Source organism: Homo sapiens, chromosome 3 (genome assembly GCF_000001405.40).
Source record: "Homo sapiens chromosome 3, GRCh38.p14 Primary Assembly".
NCBI lineage: Eukaryota > Metazoa > Chordata > Mammalia > Primates > Hominidae > Homo > Homo sapiens.
Genome location: NC_000003.12, coordinates 142,533,840 through 142,550,986, shown reverse-complemented (window position 1 = coordinate 142,550,986; position 17,147 = coordinate 142,533,840). Strand labels below are relative to the sequence as shown.

General features: G+C 35.2%; 1 protein-coding gene across 9 annotated transcripts in view; it reads left to right on the top strand.

The window, feature by feature from the left end:
* The window catches only part of ATR (ATR checkpoint kinase), a 129,499-nt gene that overhangs the window by 27,747 nt on the left and 84,605 nt on the right, over positions 1-17,147 (top strand). For all 9 annotated transcript variants that reach the window (NM_001354579.2, XM_011512925.2, NM_001184.4 and 6 more), the window contains 8 exons: positions 685-855; positions 1,314-1,508; positions 3,077-3,262; positions 8,230-8,322; positions 9,953-10,083; positions 12,362-12,505; positions 14,786-14,879; positions 15,782-15,907. In NM_001354579.2, the coding sequence (NP_001341508.1) occupies positions 685-855; positions 1,314-1,508; positions 3,077-3,262; positions 8,230-8,322; positions 9,953-10,083; positions 12,362-12,505; positions 14,786-14,879; positions 15,782-15,907 (1,140 nt within the window). The remainder of the gene's footprint in view (positions 1-684; positions 856-1,313; positions 1,509-3,076; positions 3,263-8,229; positions 8,323-9,952; positions 10,084-12,361; positions 12,506-14,785; positions 14,880-15,781; positions 15,908-17,147) is intronic.

The following is a 17,147-nucleotide window of genomic DNA, read 5'->3' as shown; positions in this document are numbered from 1 at the left end:
GGTGAAACCCCATGTCTACTAAAAATACAAAAATTAACCGGGCATGGGGCGGGCATCTGTAATCCCAGCTACTCAGGAGGCTGAGGCAGAAGAATCGCCTGAACCCAGGAGGTGGCGGTTGCAGTGAGCCAAGATCGCACCTCTGCATTCCAGCCTGAGTGACAGAGCAAGACTCTGTCTTTAAAAAAAAAAAATTATTGTCAAAAACGATGTATTTTGTTTATAGTTTATTTACTATAACTGAAATCTTGCCATTTTTATATTTTAGGATATTGGTCTGAAGATACAGGTTATAAATGAGGGAGGAAGGAAATCATCTTATAATGGTGTATAGACTTTTTAGTGATAGTAAACTGTTTTACACCTTGATATTATGTTATATGACACTTTGTTTTAAATATATTCAATTAATGGCTGAAAAGTTAGGTTATGCTAAAATACTGAATTTATTTGTGGTATAATCCTTAGCATGATATTCAAGTTTTTTAACTAAGTCTGATTATGTCATCTGTGAAAGGCAGATTATGACATAGTCTACCTCATTAAGGTTGTTATAAAAATTGAATGGACCAATTCAGATAATGTAGAATACTATTTGATACTGCCCTCTATGGTGGCTTAAAAAGTATTAGTTAAAATTTCTTCTTTGTGTGAAAACTCACAATAAAATGGTTTTTGCTCTAGTTTTTGGTAGAATCCCTTCACTCTAGTCAGATGACAGCACTTCCGAATACTCCATGCCAGAATGCTGACGTGCGAAAACAAGATGTGGCTCACCAGAGAGAAATGGCTTTAAATACGTTGTCTGAAATTGCCAACGTTTTCGACTTTCCTGATCTTAATCGTTTTCTTACTGTAAGTTGCAACATATAGTTCACTTGAGGTTTGCAATTCAGTATTTTGTTCATTCCATTCTAGATTTTGACTTTGATATGAGATTATTGCTTATGCTGTAAAACTTAAGTTTAAGTGGATTTGAGTCATTGTTCTTTATGGTTAGCTGTCCTGAAAAGTTAATACTAATTGAATAATGCTAATCAATTCAGTTAGCTATTTGAGCCCTTATGTCTTTGGTGCTATGATTTGTTCCGTTGGCAATTCAAAGTCTAATATGATCATTTCTGCTTCTAAGGTGTTGGAATAATAAAGTATAAAATTATAGTGGTATAAATGATCTACTATTACATATTTTATAGTATGGAGTGGACTCCAAATATGTGTGGCATTTAAAAATATTTTTGCACATAGCTTATGTGAATATTTTTTTCACCCAGACAAATGTACTTTTTGGTAATTGTTGCATTCTTTTTCAGAGGACATTACAAGTTCTACTACCTGATCTTGCTGCCAAAGCAAGCCCTGCAGCTTCTGCTCTCATTCGAACTTTAGGAAAACAATTAAATGTCAATCGTAGAGAGATTTTAATAAACAACTTCAAATATATTTTTTCTCATTTGGTCTGTTCTTGTTCCAAAGATGAATTAGAACGTGCCCTTCATTATCTGAAGGTAATTGAATATTTCTATATATTTTACTTTTTTATATAAATTAGCATTATAGGAAAGATGTAACATTCTTCTAGGAAAGAGGGTGAGTAAATTATAGCCTATCCTAGAAGAATGTAAGTTTAAATGTTGTTATGTTAAATAATCTTTGTCCTGAGAGCATATTAAATAGAATTCTCCTTTTGTTTTCTTTGATCATTTCACCATAATGGGATATGATAGGCATCCTTTCATGGGAGAGGTTCTCAGCCTATTTCATTATAGTACTTTTCAGTTGATTGGAGTTATAAGTTGACTGATGATACACACTTAATTATATCCATAGGAAGAGGCAATCACCTTCAAATGTAGTATAATGTCTATATTTTAGTTACTTGGTGTTCTGATTACAATTTGGTCCAGGTTTTTGGTAGTTTTTACATTTAAAATTATAACCTGTGCTTCTTTTTTTTGGTGTCATATTAACAAAATATCTCTGAGGAATATGAAACTACATGGGAACAGGAAAACTATGAGAAATATGCATATAACTTTACTGTTTTCTCTGATGTTAATTTACTTAATTTGTTTCATAATATATGCCAGCAGCACATCTCTTTCCACGAGAGTTAGTGAATATCAAATGTATTTATTCATCTTGAGAAAGTATTATTCGACTGTATATTGTGGAGATAGAATGATAGTAATAAGTATTTATGGAGTATTTAATACATGTCAGAAATTGAGCTAAACAATTGATATGGATCATTTCATGCAATCCTCACAGTTACCCAATGAGATAAAGGTACTCTTAATTTTTTTTTTTTTTTTTTGTGATGGGAGTTTTGCTCTGTAGCCCAGGCTGGAGTGCAGTGGCACGATCTCGGCTCACTGCAACCTCCACCTCCTGGGTTCAAGCGATTCTCCTGCCTTAGCCTCCTGAGTAGCTGGGATTACAGGTGTCTGCCACCAGGCCTGGCTAATTTTTGTATTTTTAGTAGAGGTGGGGTTTCACCATGTTGGCCAGGCTGGTGTCCAACTCCTGGCTGCAAGTGATCCACCTGCCTTGGCCTCCCAAAGTGCTGGAATTACAGGTGTGAACCAACACGCCCAGCCAAAGGTACTATTTTTTTGTTTTGTTTCATAGATAAGGAACTAAGGCAGAGTGAGGTTAGATTAGGTAACTTGTCCAAGTCAGCATATCTGATAAATGACAGCTAGAATTTAAACTAAAGCAATCTGAACAGAAAGACTGCTATAAGCCACTATACTACATTTCCTCCCAGGGTTGTGTGTCCCCAATAATGAGTTGATGATATTATAAGACCTTAGAGAAAACTAGGACTTGCTTTTTAATATTTTATTTCTAAATAAAGTTGGATCACTTCTCTTCATTACATATAATCCATGGGAGACCTACCAGGATAGAATAAGATTAGAATCTTTTCCAATGCCTTTTCTTAATACCTTTAATAAATCCTGTCATCTGGGCTAGAGCTCCTGATGTACTAATAGCATGTTAAAATCAGTATACTTATTTCCAGGATATTAGTATGAAGAAAAAAATTTTTTTTAACATGTCTTTGGGTTAGAATGAAACAGAAATTGAACTGGGGAGCCTGTTGAGACAAGATTTCCAAGGATTGCATAATGAATTATTGCTGCGTATTGGAGAACACTATCAACAGGTTTTTAATGGTTTGTCAATACTTGCCTCATTTGCATCCAGTGATGATCCATATCAGGGCCCGAGAGATATCATATCACCTGAACTGATGGTAAGGAATATGTTCTATGAGGTTTTTTTGTTTGTTTTTCTTCCTTTTGCAGCTTAATTATAAAATTGAAGAAATCATATTTTTGGTCATTTTCTGGCTGCTAGCCATTTGTTTAAATTTTAAGTTGGTATTTTTATTTTGAAAAGGCTGATTTAAATCACGTGGTCACATGCACAAGATCATGAACACGAGATCACGTTTATTTTCTTATAGCATTATCACAACTTTGTTTACATATTTACATATTTAGGGCATTAACAACATATATTAGCATTGAAAAATGTGGACTTTTAAGTGTTTTTAGTAGATTTTATTTTTTCACTGAATAAAAATGTTGAAGTTTATTTTTCTCTACTACTTTTAAATTACATGTATATTAGAATATGTTTGTAGCTCTCCTCTCACCCTGCCCCTCCGACTACTCTTTCCTTAGGTCAACAAATGAAACTTTTCAATTCTAACTGTAGTTTAATCCATTATTGGATAGAAGGGAAGTTTGGAAATATGTTCTCTATTTTAAATCTTTCCCTACCATAAATTTGTATTTGAAATCACTTTACTGTTTATCTATCTTAAAAAAATATGTAAATCCACAGAATTAAATTATTATTTTTTCTTTCAACTGCCCTTATTCTTGTAACAGACTTAAAGGACTGTTGGCAAAATATTTTAACCCATTTATGCCAGAGGTTGCAAATTTTTTTTGTGAAAAATCAGACTTTGGTGATGACCTTGAGCAGTAGGATATAAATAACTTCTACAAGCTTACCATTCCAATAATGGAATACTAGACATAAGTTCATTAAGAGAGATTTTTATCTCTGGTTTCTCATTTCCCATTCTAGTCTGGCTCTTTTCTCACTATTCCATGAAATTCCTTTTGTCAGGATCACCAACAGTCTTCTGGGCTATTAAATCTCATAGTCACTTCTCTGTCCTATCTTATTCAACCTTTCAGTATCATTCAATACAATTGGCCATTCTTTCCTGCGTGGCATCTGTGATACCACATTGTCTTGATTTTCTTTTTTGCTTCACTGTTCACTCATATTTAGGCTTCTTTACTGGCTTTTTCCCTGTAAATTATCTACTTTATCCTCTAAATGTTAGAATAACTCAGGACTATGTAACTGGCTCTTTTTTCTCAGTCATCATTCTCTCCTTTAATGATCTTCTTTGATCTTTTTCTTTAATATGAGTTACATTTTGATAATTTTTAGTTGAAATTTCAGTCCAGACTGCCTCTGAGCTTGGTTTTATAGGTTAGGTCCTGGGAGGAAACAGATGGCATACACACAAACATTTACACAGAAATAGTTTAACAAAGGGGCTACTTTTAGTGACATGGCAAGGTTAAGGGAACCAGCAAGGAATGTTAAGGAACCCAGGTACTACAAACCACAGAAAACTTAATGCCCCCCTTAGTTCTGGGAAAGGGGAAGAAATAGTGTTACTAGAACCTGATTGAGAGCCAGAACCATGAGGGGGGTCCTCTCATTGTAGAGGAACATAGCCACTGCCAGAACTACCTCAAAACACAGACAGAGCAGGAAATATGAATACCATACTCTCTCCTCCTACCCTCTGTTCTAGTGGTATTTCCTGCTGACTGAATTCAGTGGAAAGCCAGAGGGTAAGGGATCCTAAGTAATGCAGTCCGGTCAGTGTCCCAGGTACGGAGCAGGGCAGAAGGCGGCAGAGAATGGACCTGAGGATGACAGAAGATGGCAAACAGATATTCACCTTTTCATCATCTCTACTCTCATGTCTTATAAGCATCTCAAACAATTCCAAATATAATATGTTCATTAGAAATCTTTATTTTCCCTTTCTAATCTGTTTTTCTCCCAGTCTTTCCCATCTCAGTAATGGTACCGCTATCTACCAGTTGCATGAGACAAAACCTGAGAAGCATTCGTGAGCCCTCCATTTCCTTTATCCTTTTATAATTAATGAGCAAATCCTATCAAGTCTCTCCAAAATATATCTTTTCATTTCTGCCACCACCACCCTTACACAAATAATGATCATCTTTCTTGGGACAGCTGTGAACATCTCCTAATGGTTCTGTCCTTTCATTCTTCCCTCTCTACAATTAATTATTTACACAGCCTTTGGAGTGCTCTTTTTACAAACTCATATCGTTCCCCTGATTAAATTCCTTCAATGGTTTTCATTGCCCTTAACATAAAATAAAATCTGTAAGGCATACATGATCTGCCTACCTTTCTACTCTCACATGGTACAACTCTTTTCTTCCTTTCTCCCTATATTTCAACATGGTTTCCTTTGTGTTTCTTAAACATGCCAAACTTTTTCCTGCTTCGAGACCTAGGCCCTGGATGGTCTCTCTGCTTGGAATAATCTCCTGGATCTTTCTCATTCTTTAGATTTCAAGAGTTTCCTGAGTACCCTGTCTCGACTCCCTTACCACATTTCTTGTCTATCACAGGATTGTGTTTATTTTCTTATAGCATTATCACAACTTTGTTTACATACTTACTACTTATTTAGTGTCTTCCATTCATGCTAGTCTACCTTGTAAGCTAATGAGAGAGAATGACTCTGCTTATCTTGTACACCTGTACCCAGTATAGGATTCTAGGCATACATAATAAGTATTTGGTGATAGATAATATATTGGTAGGTAGATAAAGTCAAATAATTGTTTGTCTGAGTGCAAGAACTTTAATATTGGAATGTTGACAGAGATTGTGTGATCCTTATCTGCTTTTTATTTAAGCAACATAGGCTAGAACCATACAATTAGTGAATTGTGGCTTACCATGCCAAAGTTGAGTCTCAACCTAAATCAGAAGTTTGCAGAACAAAATGCAATTTTAGATTTTAAAAACCAGATGATTTCCTGTGCTAGGCAAGATAAAGATTTATCCTGACATCTAATCTGGAGAGACTTGTAGGATACCTCACTCCTCTCTATTATATGGTAGCACACACCCTCCTACCCTTTTCTTGGTAATGCATGGAACCTGAAGATACCTAAATCAGATGCCTCAACATCAAGCAGTGCAACTTTCTTATGGAGTTCAAAATGCTTTAGTTGCTACTCATTCCCAGCTCATTTTTTTTTTTTTTTTTTTTTGCTCCTTTCTTCTGCCTGTACATAAAGACATGAAACAAAAGAATATTCTTCTTTACAGACTGGTCACATTCTCAGTTTGTAGTAATATGAACAAATTGATTTAATACTTAGCTATATACTAAGTTCTTAGTGAATGGTATCTTTTTTTTTTTTTTTTTTTTTTTTTTTTGGAGGCAGGATTTTGCTCTGTCACCCAGGCTGGACTGCAGTGGTGCAATCTCAGCCCACTGCAACCTCTGCCTCCAGCGCTTAAGCAATCTTCCCACCTCAGCCTCCTGAGTAGCTGGGACCACAGGTGCATGCCACCATGCTTGGCTAATTTTTTTTGTAGAGATGGGGTTTTGCCATGTTACCCAGGCTGGTCTCAAACTTCTGAGCTCATGTAATCCACCTGCCTCAGCCTCCCAAATTGCTGGGATTATAGGCGTGAGCCACCACACCTAGCCAATAAATGGTATCTTATTTAGCCTTTACAACAACTCTATGCAGTAGGTGGTTTTATTATTCACATTTTACAAACTTGGAAGAATTAAGTAACTTATAGAAGATCACACATTAGGAAGTGTCAAAATTAAGATTCAAACCTAGATTTGGCTGACTTAAAGCCCATGCCCTCTCCTCCAGGACCTTCTCTTAAGAAAGTATTAACTTGGCCGAGCACAGTGGCTTACACCTGAAATCCCAGCACTCTGAGAGGCCAAAGCAGGAGGATTGCTTGAGCCCAGGAGTTTGAGACCAGCCTGGGCAACATGGCGAAACTCCATCTCTACAAAAAATACAAAAAATTAGCTGGGCGAGGTGGTGCGTGCCTGTAGTCACAGGTACTCAGGAGGCTGAGCTGGGAGGATTGCTTGAGTCTAGGAGGTTGAGGCTGCAGTGAGTCGTGATTGTGCCACTACACTTCAGCCTAGGTGACAGAGACCCTGTCGAGAGAGGAAGAAAAGAAGAGGAGAGAAAAGAAAAAAGAGAGAGAAAGGAGGAAAGAAAGAAATAGAAAGGAAGGAAGGAACTCTAAGAAAAAAGAGGAGGAAAGAAAGAAAAAGAAAGAGGGAGGGAGGGAGGAAGGAAGGAAGGAACCCTGTTTAAGTAAAAGAGGAAGAAAGAAAGAGAAAGAGGGAGGAAGGAAGCAAAGGAGGGAGGAATGGAAGGGAAGGAGGGAGGGAGGAAAGGAGGGAGGAAGAAAGGACGGACGGAGGGAGGGAGGAAAGGAGGGAGGAAGAAGGGATGGACGGAGGGAGGGAGGAAAAGAGGGACGGAGGGAGGAAGGAAGGAAGGAAGGAACTAAGGAAGGAACTCTGTTTACTTCAGGAAACCTAAAGCGTCATGGATGATGATATCTAGTCTGCAACTTTTGATGCCCATGGTCTTGTGCCTCTTTTCCCCTGTTACTTCCAGGGATATTATCCCCTATGTCAGATCATTATTCTGGTAGAATACCTTTTCCTTAATCGTACTTTTCTACCATAGCTCTAAATGTCATAGAATAAGGGCAGTCCCTTGTCTTTCTCTATTCTTTTCTTTCTTCTTTTCCTCTCCACCCCACATCCCGACATGAATTAGATCCTGAGGATCCCACCCCAGTTCACTCCATGATTAAAAAACTCATCATTTTCTCATTGTACTGTACTGTTTAATCATATTTTTTCGTGGTGACTATAAATCATTCCTTTAAATACTACATGTTTCTTTAAATACTACATGTGAAGATATATGCTTTTGGAGAAACTTAATTAACCAAGTGTTTATTTCTAATATGCTAATCTAGTTAGGTAAAATATAAATGACATTAATTAAATAATTAAAATGTCAACTTAAGAAATTCAATCTGTATAAAGCTTACATATTATCTGTTTTTATTTCTTAGGCTGATTATTTACAACCCAAATTGTTGGGCATTTTGGCTTTTTTTAACATGCAGTTACTGAGCTCTAGTGTTGGCATTGAAGATAAGAAAATGGTAAGTGGTGATAGTTCCAGAGTGCTAAGATAGAATTCATACAGAATATAGATAAATTCTGCATCTAGCTACAAACATTCAAAGATGAGAAATAACCAAATATGACATTCTCTATTGCTGAAGAACTCATATACGTTTTTTGGGAGTCTAAAAATTGGAATTGTATTCGTTTCATTTCTTTAGTTTAGGAGGGATAGAACACCCAACCCAAAGTGACTAAAAGGAACTTGTGGCTGTGTTACTAAAAGCGTAAGGATGATGTAGCTTTAGGCATAACTTGATTTTGGACTCAAAAAAGTTCTCAGAGTCAGTCTTTTGGCTCAGATTCATCTGGGTTGGCTCTGTACTTAAGAGCCAGTTAATGACCTCAATGGCTTCAAGCTCACGTCATCACAACATCTAGTCCAGCATTTGAAGAGAGAGACTAGCAATCACTGAAAGCTCAAACAAAAGTTGCATCATTGAGTCTCCTTGGTTTAGATTGGTCTGGTGTGGGTCATGGCTCATGGTGTTTTTGAACACCAGAAATCTTAGGTTATTATAATGTAAAGCAACTTTATGTTTAAATGCTTGTGCCACAGTGAAGTTTCATTATGACTGCTGCAACAGTTGGCCACCGTTGGAAATTTTCGTCCTATAAATTGGAGTAAAATTTTAGATATTGATAAAATTTCTCTTTCTGTTGCTTTCCACCTCTGCAGTCAGTAAGATTACAATAAAAACAAACAAAAAACACCTACGAATGGAAGCTTTTATTTCAGTGTATACTCTCCCCTCCTTTTTTTTTTATTAAGGAGCCAAGAAAGACATATGTTACCATATTAAATTTTGCAAATTTCAGCAACCAATGCCTGTTCTTTTGGTGTCAACTAGTAAATTCAATCCCCCAACCAACTACTATTCCATCTACATGGCTTCTTTCCTATTGTTTCCCCAATTGCTATTCTAAGGGAGAGAATCACCTTGAATCTAAGAAAACTACAGTTTGTCTTGTAAACCATAAATAACTAAAATGTTTTGGCATATAAAGTCGACCAGAGTTTCTTTACCCCTTCATTATAAACTGGAGCTGCTGATAACAGGTCTGGTTCTGTGTTTTTCATGTGTTTCATTTTCTGAGTGTATCATTAATTATTTGTTTTACTAAATTCAGGACATCTTGAATTTAATATCATTAGGACAAAAATTTCCTTAACTACTGATTACTAGGAAGTATTCCATTTACTACAAAAATTGTTATATGGTCTCAAATTTAAATGATTTTAATTCAGTTTGTTTTATATATGTGTATGGCAGTTTGGGATAGATATGAAAGAAATTAAACAATATGCATTATACCTTTAATAAATTAGAAATTGTACTGTTCTAGATGAATACTGGGCTAAAATAACAAATCACCTTCAAGGGAAAAAACAAAAAAGAACTCAACTTGTATTTTTCAAATTTATAATTACCACATAAGACATAAGCAATTGGACAAAACAAACTGGCCAACATTTATTCAATCTTTTGTATTATCTGAGAATAGATGACACCCTGATACTGGGTGGGAAGCACTTGTCCTTAGGGCTCATCTGCTTCTGGCAGCATGTTTATAAGCTTTACTCTGAAGCACTACTTAACTCTATAGGCCTTGAACAGTTTGATGTCTTTGATGAAGTTAATGGGACCCAAACATGTCAGTTCTGTGAGGGTGAAGATGATGACCACACTGAGAACTGGCCTTCGATTCAAGGATGATTTTCCTGAATTGTGTTGCAGGTAAATGACTGCCTGAGTTTATTAATTTTTTTTTTTTTTGCATTTTCCAGTAGCACTAACTTGAATTCTTATCTCTTTGAGGGAAATTGGGTTCAAATAATAAATAAGGTAGAAAGACTATTTATTTGTATTTAAAATAGAACATATTTACTTCTTTTAAAACATTTTACTATGGAAGTCTTTTAACATACTGGGAAATAGAAGAGTTATCAATGAACCTACATACCTATTTCCCAACTTTAGCAGTTATCAACATTGCTAGTTTTTTTTAATCCACTTCTACCTTTTTGATTGTTGGTTGGGGTATTTTAGAGAAGATCCCAGAATCTTATCATTGTGCTTGTAAATACTTTAGATGTATCTAACGGATGAGGACATTTAAAAAATAACCTTCATGAATTATTATACTTAGCAGGATTAATAGAAATATCTAATCTAAAACTCAGTCCTTAGTCACATTTCCTCCAGTTGTCTCAAAGGTATTTTTCCCAAAGACATTGTATATATTATGTTGTATATGACCAGAGATGTTTGTATGTATCAGAGATGTTTTTCCAGAGATGTTTGTATGTATCATAGTTTCTTGAATTAGACTATAAATGAAGTTTACATATGTGTATTTGGTTGCCTGGCTCCTTAAGTGTCTCTTGTAAACAGCCTCATCCCTTAAATTCTCTACTCACACATTTTACTTATTTTAGGCTGTTAAGATTTTAGGATGTTGGATTTGGCGAATAGCTAATTTAACTTTTCCCTCTATTTTTTCTTTCCTCCCTGTCTTTTCTATAAATGGGTACTTAGATATAGATGCTTGATTAGATTTAGGTTCAATTTATTATGATAACATACCTCATAGGTGAGGCTTTGTGCTTCTCTTGTGGCACAGTATGAGCCACATAATAATATCTGGTTGTCCACTTTTAGTAATGGTAAGATTAGACAGTAGGTTTTATCAACCTGAATCCCTTTATTATAAAATTCCCCACTAATCTTTCATCTGATGATTTTAGCATTAATTAATGATCATTGCCTAAGTCCATTATTTCATTGCAGTTGATGAAATAATGATTTTCTAATTTTATTATTCCTTCTGTATTTACTAGGTGGGATTCTTCTTAAAACAAAATTCCTCATAAAATTTGGCTAGCCGGGCATGATTGTGCGTATCTGTAGTCCCAGCTGCTTAGGAAGCTGAGGTGGAAGGATCATTTGAGGCCAGGAGTTTGAGTCTAGCCTGGGCAACATAGCAGGACCTTGTCTTTAAAAGCAAAACAACCATAGTTCATATAAAGCAGTTCATAAATACTTGAATATTTCCCTTTAGTTAATCAATTTAGGAATATAGGTTTGTGCTGTAGCAACCTCCAGTGAAGTTTTTTTAATATCATTTTGATAACGTAGATTTTTATAAGTTTGATTATTTTTTATCCATTAAAGTCACTATCCTTTTTTATTGCTGAAATTGTCCCATCTTAAGCAAGTAGAAATCCCTTCAAGTTGGCATCTATGAGTTTTGATATGACCTCTATTAATCTCTTATAGATTCTCTGCTTTCTGGCATGACAAGATGACCTGGGCTTATCTTGAACATTTCCTGCCTCTGACTCAAAATTAGTGATTTCTTCAAGGAAACCTGGCTCTGGTTCCTTTGAGCCCAGATTAATTCCAAGCATAGGCACTCTTTGGGCCTACTGTCATTGCTTCTAAGTCTTAAGTGAATGTAGCTACTAGAAAATTTTTATAAAGAATAGGTTTTAGAATCACGTGAAGTACTTATTTTCTGTGTGCATGTGCTACCAATTTAACATTTAGTTAGGTTCACTTGTTTCAGTTTCTTTAAAACTTTTAAGGGTTGCTTTTTCCCTCTATTTTATTTAATTTAAAAGTTATATAAAACATTTGCATAGTCCCAAATTCAAATCTGTGTAACAAATTATAGTCAGAAATCTAGATTCCAATTTCGACCTCTACAGATATCTATTTTTATTAATTTTTGTATATCCACCCTCTGTAAAAGAATAAGTAAATGCACACACACATACTTTTTTTTTATTATTAATTCTGCCCCAAACACTGTTTTTCACCTTGCTTTTTTGACTTCACATAATTTGGACATCACTTTATTTGAATATATAGCACTGATCTTTATTCCATGTTTAAAGCTGCCTTTTAATCTATTGTTTGTATATATCATGTGTCTTCAACTAATTACTGATTGATAGAGCTTTACAAATAATAAAAGTAATTGGACTTCATTTCTATTTGTTTTTTCACATAGAGCTTGGGACTGCTTTGTTCGCTGCCTGGATCATGCTTGTCTGGGCTCCCTTCTCAGTCATGTAATAGTAGCTTTGTTACCTCTTATACACATCCAGCCTAAAGAAACTGCAGCTATCTTCCACTACCTCATAATTGAAAACAGGTATTGTAACTGAAATTAATAGTAAAATAATAACTTTTTAAACTGTATTTTTATGTCTCAAAATTACTGATGGTAATGTGGAAACTGTCACTTTTTTGAATTTCAGGGTTTATCAATAAACAAAAGTAATTGGCATGTAATTACATATTGAAATGATGCTATTTCAGTTGTGGCATTGCTTCTATTATAATTATTTCCAAAGCTCACTAATAGGTCACCAGTTAAAAATTACTTTTCATTAATTCTGTAAATGTGTAACCTAATTTACCTTTCTTTTCACAGTCAAAAGGCAGATAGTTGAATAGCATGAGAAAGGTTAGGAGAGATACCTACTTTCTGCAGCTTACCTTAGTTGAAACCCTTATTACCTCATTGCGTTAAGCTTTGAACCAGCCTCTCTTCCTTTAAGCTTTCATCACTTTTCTTGATATTGTTACTAGAACTGTGTTTTAAAAATATCTCTTTATTGGTGTCATTCCAGCATACAAAGGCATTCTGAGATTCTCCATTTCCTAATTGATAAATTCCAAATTGCTTAGCTTGATATTGAAGGCTTTCTAAAAATGTGGCCACAGACTATTTCTTACTATCTTCCCCCATAATTTTTCAAAACAGGCATTAGGCTATAGCCAGTGTGGATTACTATTGACAGAACATGCATTATTCTTTCCCATTTGTATTTTTGATTCAGGCTGCTTTTTAGACTGGGATGTCTTTTTATATATTTAATTTTTTTTCTGTGATTTTACTTAATGTTGTATATAATCATTCCTTTGCTTGTGAAAAGTTGGGATTGAAGTACTACTTATTTACCTACTCACCCATATGCTATTGCTGGTCCCTTTAGTCAGTTGCAGTAACTGTCTAATGAGGGAGAAATCATAGAAGAAGGAAAAGTTAATGTGTTTTTATTTAGTTAAAATACTTTTATTTTTGATATTTTTATATTTTGTGCATGATAAAACAACAAAATCACTAATTTAGATTTTGGGACTACTTTTCAAGTACCTTTTAAATTTTTTTGTACATAGTCATGTCTTTGCTGTTTATTGCAGAAGTGTCATTTCTCTACCTTTCTCATAATCATAAGAAAAATCCTGACCAGGCATGGTGGCTCATGCCAACAATACCAATACTTTGGGAGGACAAGGCTGGAGGATTGCTTGAGGCCAGGAGCCTGGGCAACATAGTGAGAACCTCATCTCTACAAAAAATACAGAAACATTTAAAAAAAAAAAAGCAAAAAGAGCCTGTAATCCTAGCTACTGCAGGCTGAGGCAGGAAGATTGTTTGAACCCAGGAGTTTGAGGCTGCAGTGAGTTATGATCATGCTGCAAGATAGAAGACCTTAAGCTTGCTGAATGAAGGCACTACTTTGGCTTTGTTTATTGTTCCATCCCCAGTGACTAGCAGAGTGCTTAGCATGTAGTAGCACATAGTAGTTATTTAATATATATTTATTGCATGAGTTAATGAAGACTAGGATTTAGAAATGCTTATATTTGGACCCAGAAAGATTAGAGCATTTATTATATTAGAAGGAAATTAAAAATTATAGCCCTGACAAGGATTATTTATGTATTTTTTTCTATAATTCTTCATGATAATTTGTATATTGAGGTAGTCTTTGTCTGTCTATTGCTACATTCCAAATCACTCCAAAACCTAGTATCTTAAAACAATGAGCATTTTTATTTGCTCATAATTTTGCAATCTGGACTGTGCTCAGCTGGTCAGTTCTACTGGTCTTACAAGTGGTCACTGATGTGGCCACATTCAGGGGGCAGGTAGACTGGGCTGGGCCCTCTCTCATTCCGTGTAGTCTCACAGTCTGTCTCTCTGTACCACGGTCTGTCCATGTTGGTGGCAACACTTCTTACGTAGTGACTCAGGGCTCTCCAGAACACACAAATGGAAACTTGCAGGCATTTTTAACAGGCCCCAAATTGGCACAGTATATCTTCTGCCACAGTCTATTTGCTAAAGCAAGTCACACACTCAGCCCAGCTTGAAGAGGAAGGGACTGTATATATGGGTTTGTATGCTGAGAAGCATGGTTTATTGTAGCACTATTATAGAGTGATTTTCATAGCTTTGGTCATTTTCCACTAATAATTTAGCTGAGCATCTTAGACATAGTTAGAAAATACTTTGCAGCTCAGTAATCAACTAGCACTTTTAATTATGAATTAAATTGGCCTTAGTTTCAACTTTTACTTTACATTTTTTTAGTATTCATATTCTTGGCAAATAATTCTTTTTATTCCAACTAACTATTAGGGATGCTGTGCAAGATTTTCTTCATGAAATATATTTTTTACCTGATCATCCAGAATTAAAAAAGATAAAAGCCGTTCTCCAGGAATACAGAAAGGTATTTAATTTTTAATTTGTGGTTTAGGAGATCATTAATACAGAATTGTTCCCAAGTTCCAATACATGAAATAAAGATCCTTTAGGATCATATCTAGGGATAATATAGTCCTATTCTGATAGCTAATTCCTGGTGAGTAGATAATGCTACCATGAATCCATGACTTTTGGAGGGAAGTTTTAGCATTTAGATTAAATATGTAACACCATTAGATAGAACAGAGAGCAAAAAATACAATTCTTATGCCTTTACTACCCAGACCAAAGTGTCCTTACTTATTGTCCCAAAAAGAAGCGCTACCACAGCGGCACACCCTAAGAGAAGAAAGGAAAGCTGTGGGATGATTCTAGTTTTGTTGTGCTACAAACCATGATATAGAAATGTCAGATGTGAATGATTCCTGAGATTTAGAAGGGGAATAATTTATAATTCCAGCATCTTAAATCTTAGTGAGCTCTCTAAAATTATGAAGATGTTAGTGGTGATTTCATAGAACTTCTGGGTAGAAAGTGGGACACCTGACCTTAGGTGTCACCTTGGGTAGTGAAAGGAATTGAATTACCTATATAATCCATAGACCTGGTTCAAAGCTATTATGTAGCCCTTTGTAAATTAAGGGAAACTTGTACTTCCTGTCAAGAAGTACTTATTTTAGAGAAGTAAATTCTTACTTAGTTGGGATAAAATTTTTCTCCAGGTCTAACAGTTTTACAATGAAATCCCTTTCCCTCAGAATTACTAAAAATGATTTGTGCTGTACAAAGGAAGGAATGGAAATTTCATTACTTTAAAAAATTGGTTTGGTATAGTTTAATGGTAACTATATAGAGAATTCAGGCCTTTGGAAATGGTTGTTAAAATAGTTGATTAATAAGTTCTGTCTCTCTGTGCTTTGTATATAGGAGACCTCTGAGAGCACTGATCTTCAGACAACTCTTCAGCTCTCTATGAAGGCCATTCAACATGAAAATGTCGATGTTCGTATTCATGCTCTTACAAGCTTGAAGGAAACCTTGTATAAAAATCAGGTATGCTAATATGATATAATTAAAAATGTATAACAAAGAAAGATTGGAGGCTTAAAGAAAAGATGACAAAATGACATTTTTGTTTGAGATTTAGTGAAAGAAGAAATTTTTATTTTACCTGAATTATCAGATCTGACTGAGAATTAGGAATCCATGAGATGCCCTTTGAGCTTGAATCTTAGGGATTTGCAGTTTTTGTTGTTTTTGAAGGATCATGATTTGATGGTTATATTTTAGGTTACTGCATCTTCGTAAGTAAACATGTATATAATTGTATAATACAGCAGCAGTTTATGTAAGTCTTCTCACATATTTCCTATGGATATATGTCATATGAAATGTCAGCAATTTTACTATTGTACATTTTGACTGAATTAACGTTAGTTTTAATGAAGCTAAATCTTTAAGTTTACTTTTTCAAGGGGTGAGTGAACTTTATTCTTTTCTTTGGCAACATAATGTAGATTATCCCTAAACTTGATGATAGTGAGAACTGGTATTTAAAATACCAGATCACTGTATATGAATAAATTGGAAAAAATTTAACGGAATTACTCATTTTTGCATATCTAGAACCCATATGGTAAGATATGAGAGCCTAAGACCCTCATGAATTTTGGGATTACCATTCTATAATGGAAGGGTTATATTTCCTTCCATTAATAGAAGCAAGCACTTACTTAGGACAAAAGATATACGTGATGGTAATGAGCACATTTTTCTGGGGCAGTGAGTTTGTATAACCAATGTGGGTAGCAGCCAGTGTGGAGATGATCCCAACAGAGGGGAGGAGCCTTGAATCTCCTCTAGGTTAAGTGTTGTGCCTTCCTGACTATAGATGTGCATTATCAACGTTACAGCCTCTATTCCTGCTCTAAACTACAATGAAACTACCCTGTGCTTGCCCCTAGCCCCATACCTTTACCTGGTTTTCAGGTAACTCAAAGGACTTTTAGCCTTTTAATTTAATACAGAGATTTATGAATCACAAAGGTTTTCTCCTCTTTGCATAGAGGTTTTCTAGTTTAGGTTATTTCCAAGCAGATGGCACAGTCATTGTCTAACATAAGGAAACTTCACCTCAATCATCACTTCCTAGATATAAATAACTAAATCTGAGAATTCAAGAAGATTTCTTACAGTCTTAAGGAAAGCTGCAGCTGCCTCACTTTGCCTCCTGGATCACAGAAGATAAATCATATGTGGCAACTTCCTTACAGGATTCCTTCAATGTAAAGCC